This window comes from Homo sapiens, chromosome 1 (genome assembly GCF_000001405.40).
Source record: "Homo sapiens chromosome 1, GRCh38.p14 Primary Assembly".
Taxonomy (NCBI): Eukaryota; Metazoa; Chordata; class Mammalia; order Primates; family Hominidae; genus Homo; species Homo sapiens.
The window spans coordinates 162464105-162473069 of NC_000001.11; the positions used below are offsets into that span (position 1 = coordinate 162464105).

At 43.1% G+C, this 8965-nt stretch overlaps 2 annotated features.

Moving 5' to 3' along the window:
- Positions 1004-1608: an enhancer, noted in NCBI's record as "H3K27ac-H3K4me1 hESC enhancer chr1:162434898-162435502 (GRCh37/hg19 assembly coordinates)". NCBI's record gives its function as "activates a minimal SCP1, AML or CMV promoter by ChIP-STARR-seq in naive H9 embryonic stem cells {active_cell/tissue: H9 hESC(naive)}" and the evidence as "EXISTENCE:reporter gene assay evidence [ECO:0000049][PMID:30033119]".
- Positions 1609-2211: an enhancer, noted in NCBI's record as "H3K27ac-H3K4me1 hESC enhancer chr1:162435503-162436105 (GRCh37/hg19 assembly coordinates)". NCBI's record gives its function as "activates a minimal SCP1, AML or CMV promoter by ChIP-STARR-seq in naive H9 embryonic stem cells {active_cell/tissue: H9 hESC(naive)}" and the evidence as "EXISTENCE:reporter gene assay evidence [ECO:0000049][PMID:30033119]".

Genomic DNA, 8965 nt, shown 5'->3' on the forward strand with positions numbered 1-8965 from the left:
TTGCTCTGTCTTCTGGGCTGGAGTGCAGTGGCACTGTCATGGCTCACTGGAGCCTTGACCTCCTGGCTCAAGCAATCCTCCCACCTCAGCCTCCTAAGTAACTGGGATTATAGGCACACACCACCATGCCCAGCTAATTTTTTAGTTTTGTAAAGATGAATTCTTGCTATGTTACCTGGGCTGGTCTCAAACTCCTGGACCCAAGCTATCTGGCTGCCTCAGCCTCCCAGTGTTGGGATTATAGGCGTGAGCCACAGTGCCTGGCCCACACTTCAAATATTGTAGTTATCTCACTGATGCACAATTATTTGTTTTTGTTTTTGTTTTGGTCTCCTCAACTAGATTGCAAGCTTTTTAAGGACAGGTACTATATCTTCTGTCTTTTTCTACTGCCTAGTAGAGTTTCTAGCACATTCCAAATACTCATAAATATCTCTTGAATGAATGAAGCATGCCCTCAGCATCATTGTTTCCCCTCCTCCTTTAGGTTCCCCTTGCTTAGTCTCACCAGCCCTGGCCAGTCTCCCCAGTGCTACTTTGTTGGTGCCCAGATCTTGTCATTATCAGGCTTAGGTGTAAGATAAGACCTGTATTGGGTCTTACACCTAGGAGCTGTTACCTCTCTAGTAAGCTAACTCACCAGGTGAACAAATACACTTATATGTGGTAACACTAAAAAGCTGGGAGACCGCCTCCCAGATTTGTGCTTGTTACTTCTTTCACCACATCCCTCAGTGATATGCCTCTGTCTCTTTGTGTCTCTGATAGGCAAGAGAACAGGCTGCAAGACAGATTTAGGTCCCTCCGATATCTGGATTACTGGAATAGCCTCCTATTGTCTCTCTGCTTATAGTTTTGCTCTTTTTCCATCTATTCTCAACATAACCATCAAAGAGATCTTTTAACAGTTTAGTCAGGCAGGGTGCAGTGGTTCACACCTGTAATCCCAGCACTTTGGGAGGCCAAAGTGGGAGGATCACTTGAGCCCAGAAGTTCAAGACCAGCCTGAGCAATATGATGAAACCTCGTCTATACAGAAGATACAGAAATCATCTGGGCATGGTTGTGCACACCTTTAGTCCCAGCTACTTGGGAGGCTGAGGTGGCAGGATCGCTTGAGCTCTGGAGGTGGATGCTGCAGTAAGCTGAGATCACACCACTGCACTTCAGCCTGGGTGGCAGAGACCCTTTCTAAAAAAAAAAAAAAAAAAAAAGTTTAATCAGACCTTGTTTTTCCTTTGCTCAAAACCCTGCAAACCTCAACCTCTCCCTCTCCCTCTCCCTCTCCCTCTCCCTCTCCGTCTCCCCACGGTCTCCCTCTCTTTCCACGGTCTCCCTCTGATGCCGAGCCGAAGCTGGACTGTACTGCTGCCATCTCGGCTCACTGCAACCTCCCTGCCTGATTCTCCTGCCTCGGCCTGCCGAGTGCCTGCGATTGCAGGCGCGCGCCGCCACGCCTGACTGGTTTTCGTACTTTTTTGGTGGAGACGGGGTTTCGCTGTGTTGGCCAGGCTGGTCTCCAGCTCCTAACCGCGAGTGATCCGCCAGCCTCGGCCTCCCGAGGTGCCGGGGTTGCAGACAGAGTCTGGTTCACTCAGTGCTCAATGGTGCCCAGGCTGGAGTGCAGTGGCGTGATCTCGGCTCGCTACAACCTCCACCTCCCAGCCGCCTGCCTTGGCCTCCCAAAGTGCCGAGATTGCAGCCTCTGCCCAGCTGCCACCCCGTCTGGGAAGTGAGGAGCGTCTCTGCCTGGCCGCCCATCGTCTGGGACGTGAGGAGCCCCTCTGCCTGGCTGCCCAGTCTGGAAAGTGAGGAGCGTCTCTGCCCGGCCGCCATCCCATCTAGGAAGTGAGGAGCGCCTCTTCCCGGCCGCCATCCCATCTAGGAAGTGAGGAGCGTCTGTGCCCGGCCGCCCATCGTCTGAGATGTGGGGAGCGCCTCTGCCCCGCCGCCCCGTCTGGGATGTGAGGAGCGCCTCTACCCCGCCGCAACCCCGTCTGGGAGGTGAGGGGCGCCTCTGCCCGGCCGCCCCTACTGGGAAGTGAGGAGCCCCTCTGCCCGGCCAGCCACCCCGTCCGGGAGGGAGGTGGGGGGGTCAGCCCCCCGCCCGGCCAGCCGCCCCGTCCGGGAGGTGAGGGGCGCCTCTGCCTGGCTGCCCCTACTGGGAAGTGAGGAGCCCCTCTGCCCGGCCACCACCCCGTCTGGGAGGTGTGCCCAGCAGCTCATTGAGAACGGGCCATGATGACAATGGCGGTTTTGTGGAGTAGAAAGGGGGGAAAGGTGGGGAAAGGATTGAGAAATCGGATGGTTGCCGTGTCTGTGTGGAGAGAGGTAGACATGGGAGACTTTTTGTTTTGCTCTGTACTAAGAAAAATTCTTATCCTGTTGATCTGTGACCTTGCCCCCAACCCTGTGCTCTCTGAAACATGTGCTGTGTCCACTCAGGGTTAAATGGATTAAGGGCGGTGCAAGATGTGCTTTGTTAAACAGATGCTTGAAGGCAGCATGCTCCTTAAGAGTCATCACCACTCCCTAATCTCAAGTACCCAGGGACACAAACACTGCGGAAGGCCGCAGGGTCCTCTGCCTAGGAAAACCAGAGACCTTTGTTCACTTGTTTATCTGCTGACCTTCCCTCCACTATTGTCCTATGACCCTGACAAATCCCCCTCTGCGAGAAACACCCAAGAATGAACAATAAAAAAATAAATAAATAAAAATAAAAACAAACAAACAAACAAACAAACAAAAAAACCCCTGCAAACCATTTCCCCTTTCACTTACAGTAAAAGTCAAATGCTCTACTAGGCTACGAAGCCCTGATGATCTGTTCCACTGCCCCGCTCCTCTCTGGCCTCATCTCCTACCCTCCCTCTTGCTCACTCAGCCTCAGCCACCCTGGCTGCCCAGTCCCTCTTAAGCACACTTGGCGTGCCTCAGAAACTAAGCCTTCACACTGGCTGTTCTTGCTGCAGGATGGCTCCTTCTGCAGATTCACATAGCTAATTCTCTCACCTCCTTTAAGTCTTTGTTTAAATGCTGTCATCTCAATGAGTCCTGCCTAGACTGCTCCTCTGAAAATTGTAGCTCCCCTCACCCCACCTTCAGGCACTCTTGGTTTCCCTTACTCTGCTTTTTAAAATTAAAACATAATGTTTTATTAATGCACTTATAACTTTTGTACCTACTATATAATTTACTAACCTATTAAGAGTATTGTTTTTGTCTGAATTCTCTGGGTAGAACATAAGCTGAACGAAGTCAAGGACCTTAATTCTGTTCACTGATGTATCTCAAGTTCCTGGAACGGTGTCTGTTCTATGGACTCACCAAAAATACCTGTGAAATGAATGAATGAATAAATGAATGAATGAATTATGACACCTTTAAATTATGAATTTATGAATGAATGTTCAATTCATTCATTCATTATGAAATGAATGAATGAATGATGACAGCTTTAAATATGCAGGTGGTTCTTTTGAGAACAAAAGAGACACGGATTTGCATAATTCAAGGATAGAGTACATTTCTGATACTTACAATGGGGAGTCAGATACTTATAATGGGGAGTTATGTTTACAGAAAAGCTCAAAGAAAAAAAAAATCCTGTATCTTTTTACCCAATTTTATCACAAGCTTATGAAATGTAGCTATTGAGCAGTGTTAGAATAGACATATGTTGTAATCATGGCTGTTAAGTATAAAATTATCTGAAATGAGAAAGAATATTCTGCCAAACCATTTACATATATTCTACACTCGCTGCATCCTCTTTAACACTTTAGAATCCAGATTCTATCTTTTTAACTGTTTCTAATAACAGTATTTGTGCATATTTATACTTGGTCTGCTTCCAGCCTTTTTTTTTTTTTTTTTTTTTAGCTCCCCAAGGCATCTGATAAAAACCTCTAGTTTAAGAATCACTTATTTAAGACAAGAACTCTATCTTAACACAATTTTTTTGTCCCTAGCACCTAACACACAATATGTACAGAGCAGGCATTCAGTAAATGCTAACTGAATGCAGGAGAGGAGTCTCACCATCCTCTAGGACATTTTCTGCATTATACCGCAAGAGTTACTCTTCAACATAATAGAGGTGTTTGGCTTTAGCATTCTTGAATGGTATCAACTCCAAATACATAAACTGTGAAACTTAAATATGTACATTGTGAAAATCAAATTTTTATCAAGATATGAAACACTACCATTATCCTTAAAATTTATTTGTGTCTCATCCCAGTCCATTTCTGCCCCAACCCGACCAGAGACAAACACATTTATGATTTTTCTCACCGTAAATTAGTTTTGACCTTTGGAAAATGTCCTATAAGTGGAATCATAAGGTAAGTAATCTGTGTAAGTCTTTTGCTCAGTATAATTTTGCCAGTTATTTTGTTTAAGATATTTGGAATTATGCTCATGAGTGAGACAGGTCTATACATTTCCTTTCTTGAACTATCCTGGTTTTGTATCAAGATTATGACTTATGTCCCCATGTTGCTCTCTTCCTTTTGTTTAATAGCTAATACAATGACTGGCACTTAGTAAGTACAGAAGAATATGAATAAACAAATGAATAAACAGAGCTATAATAATTACATAATTGTCTTGTTATAACAAGCGCCTAGTCTTTGTCAAATTCTATGGTGGTTCAAATGAAAATATCAATACCTTCAAAGTTAACACTGGAAAATTAATTTTGACCAGATCCCAATGATGAATTTGTTAATTATGATAATGTAATAGTATTTTAATAATAATAAACCATTGTTGTTACTTACTGTGGCTTACACTAATAATTGCCACCCAATATCCACCTTCCTTACTAATTAACACCTTCCTTACTAATAGAATCCTTATTTTAAGACAATGATGTGCACAAAGAAAAAGAACTTCACACACCTAGCCTCTCTTGCAGCTAGGGGTGGCCACACTACACAGGTCTGGTCAATAAGACCTTGATACGTAATTGCCAGGGAATTGCTGGGAAGTTGCTTGTCTCCCATAGACATTGCATCTTCTTCCCTGTCATTTCCTTATTCATGTATGGAATACAAACATAAATTGAAGATGAATTAGCTATGTTGTACCCGTGAAGCAACTGAGACAATGAAAACCAGGTGCTAATACAGATGCTCCTTGGTTTACGTCCCAATAAATCCATCGTAAGTTGAAAACATCGGAAGTCAAAAATGCATCAGGGTGGGCACAGTGGCTTACGCCTGTAATCCCAGCACTTTAGGAGGCTGAAGCAGGAGAATTGTTTGGTCCCAGGAGTTTGACACCAGCTTGGGAAACACAGTGAGATGCCATCTCTCAGAAAAAAATTAATGTAGTACACCTAACCTACAGAACACCATAGCTTAGCCTAGCGTACCTTAAACGCACTGAGAACACTAATGTTAGCCTAGAGTTGGACAAAACCATCTAACACAAAGCCTATTATATAAAAAAGTTTTGAATATCTTATGTAATTTATTGACTACTGTACTGTAAGTGAAAACACAATGGCTGATGAGTACTTGATATACAATTTCTACTGATGCATACCATCATGAAGTCCAAAATTTTTAAGTCCAGCCATCAGAAGTTAGGGTCAGTCTATATGTTAATTGGGCTATAGGCTAATCGGCTGTGACAAAGAGACTGAAAGTACAGTGTCTTAGATAAGAGAGTTTATTTCTCTGTCTCTAGAGTTTGCAATTCAGGCCTCTGCCATTCACGATGTGGCTTCCATCTCTGTGATGAATGCATTTTCTTCACCTTCAACATTTCATGGCCTTTGGGAAGGTGGGTAGAGACCAAGAAAGCACACACCTGGTTCTGATGATGTTAAGACCCACAGGGGTACACATTATTTCCATTCATACCCCATTAGCTTCTACTTAGTCACATGACCTCACCGAGCTGAGAGAGAGGCCAGGAAATCCAGGCAAAATTCTATTAGTAACAGAAGAACAAGAGAATGGATGCAGAGGGACAGAAACAGGTCTACCTCACTAATACTGGCACAGCAGAAAGGCAGAAGGCTCCTGGGTCCCTAATGGCATAAAAGAAGTCCATTCTGGCTTTCTACTGCCTTCCCCCAGCCTTCTTGTTCCATGAGAAAAATAAATCTCTGTTTGATTAAGCCTCTGTTACTATTCTTGTTTTTTATAAGATGTACTGTTTATTTGTTGTAGCAGAATTGTTTTTTATTTTTGGTAAACTATGCATAACATATAGTTTACCATGAAAGCCATTTTTAGTTGCACAAGTAGATAATGTTAAGTACATTCACATTGTTGTGCAACCATTACCACCAACCATCTCTGGAACTCTTCTTATCTCGCAAAATTGAAACTCTATACTCCTTAAAAAACTCCCCAGTCTCTCCTTTCCCCAGCCCCTGGCAGCCACCATTCTACTTTCTGTCTCAATGAATTCGATTACTCTAGGTACCTTATGTAAGTGGAATCACACAGCTTTTGTCTTTTTGTGATGGGCTCATTTTACTTAGTATTATGTCTTCAAGGTTCATTCATGTTGGAGCACGTCAGAATTTTCTTCCTTGTGAAGGCTGAATAAAACTGCGTTATGTGTATACACCGCCTTTTTTTTATCCATTCATCCACTGATGGACACTTGGGTTGCTTCCACCTTTTTGAACATTGTGCATAATGCTGCTATTAACATGGGTATACAATGGGTACACAAACACTGCTTTGGGACCCTGCTTTACATTCTTTGGGAGTATATAACCAGAAGTGAAATTGCTAAAACATGATAATTCTATTTTTAACTTTTTGAGGAACCACATTCTGGTTTTCACAGCAAGTGGGCCATTTTACATTCCCACCAAGAGTGCACAAGGATTCCAATTTCTCACAAACACTTGTTCTTTTTTTTTTTCTTTCTCTTTTTTTATGGTGGTCATCCTAATGGATGTGAGATAGTTAAGCCTCTGTTATTTGGATTCTCTCTTACATGAACCCAAATGCAGTTTCTGACTCATATGCCGTACAACATTGTGTAGATATCACTAGATTTAATCTCCAAAATCCTAAGGCAACTACTATTATCCCCATTTTTCAGACAGAGAAACAGGGGGTTCAGTGACTTCCTTAAGGTTACACAGTTAGTAGAAAAACCAGGATTTGAAATTAGCTCTGAATATTTTTTGGAGGCCCTATTTTTAACAATTCTAATTGCCTCCCTGCTTTTTGTCTGGATTACTTTGTGATTATTTACTACATAAACTATTCGGTTCACTATTCTGCCTCGTTGCTGCAATGTAAAGAGTTGGTGAATGAAGAGGTGAGGTGGGCAGGGGAGCTGTGGAAGCATGTGGGAGAAAAAAGTTGTGGTCTTGGTTCTGCCTCTAACTCGTCTGAACCAGTCTTTCTGAGCTTCTGTTTCCTCATCCGCAAAACAAAGGAGTTTGATTAGATGATCTCCATGGTTCCCTCCAGCTTAACATCACTGATAGTTGCACTTCAAGGGGGATGGGAGTGCTAACGGGAGGGAAGACAAAACGAGAAAGTACTTGACTGAGGATAATTATTGGGGGCAATGAGAGTGAAAGTGAAGAACAGATAATTCAGTCAATGAAGCAGTGAAATAGGTAAAAGGGAGAAAGCCACACCTGGGAAAATCATCAGGTATGTCAAAATGTGTTGTGGGTCTCTTGTTTGATAATAAAAGAAGAGAGTGTTTGGAATTAAAGAAATTGAAAAACACACAAAGATTGATCCCATAGGTTCTGGAAGAATTATTTGATATTTAAAATCAGAGTCCTGGACATTCTTAAAGTTTGACATTTCTAGTTCTAGTCAATTCAGTTTGTGTTTTACCAGTCCTATTAGCTTAACATTCTTATTTTTTTTTCATTCTATTTACTTAAAATAAGGTATCTTGATTATTCCTCCATATTAATGGATTTCAAGTGATCCCCCTCATCAATGTAGATATGTACCTGAAATATCCTAAGCCCATGGCTGTCCACATTTCTTGTATTAAGAGAAGCCTGCTGGCCAGGTGCAGTGGCTCTCACCTATTATCCCAGCATTTTGGGAGGCCAAGGTGTTAAGGATCACTTGAGCCCAGGAGTTCAATGTCAGCCTGGACAACATAGTGCAACCTCATCTCTACAAAAAAAATTTAAAAAATTAGCCGGGCATGGTGGTACGTTCCTGTAGTTCCAGCTACTTACGAGGCTGAGGTGGAGGGATGCTGATGTACCAAGAATATGTATATAAGAAGAAGAAAAAAAACAAAAAAGAAAAGAAAACTAAAAGTCAGGTGTTCTTGGCTTACTACACACAAATGTCTAAATTAGGATTTCAGCCAAGTTTCAGTGGAACCCAATGGAACCCCAATGGTCCAGCAAAAAATTGTGATTGAAAAACAAACCTATCATTTTTGGTACATTATACACTGCCCAATGCTAGTGCTCACAGTGATGGACAGTACCCCAAAACTATGTTAGCAATTACATTAAGAGGTCAACCTATGGGGTCAGCCCCATAGGTTGGCACAGGGTAAGGCCATGTTTATTTAGTTGGCTCATTGTCAGTTTTTGATGTGATAATTGGTGATTGCTATATTGCACAGAGGGAAGGACCGGAGACTGATGACATCAACCTCTCCCTCCCAAATTGTCTCGCCCAATCTCTCTTACAAGCTACTAAGCCACCAACTGCTTTTATGGGAGCAAATTTCATCAATGTAATAAAAACTCGGCCGGGTGTGGTGGATCAAGCCTGTAATCCCAGCACTTTGGGAAGCTGAGGCGGGAGGATCACCTGAGGTCAGGAGTTCAAGACTAGCCTGACCAACATGGCGAAACCCCGTCTCTACTAAAAATACAAAAATTAGCTGGGAGTGGTGGTGGGCACCTGTAATCCCAACTACTCCAGAGGCTGAGGCAGGAGAATCGCTTGAACCTGGGAGGCGGAGGTTGCAGTGAGCCGAGATCACG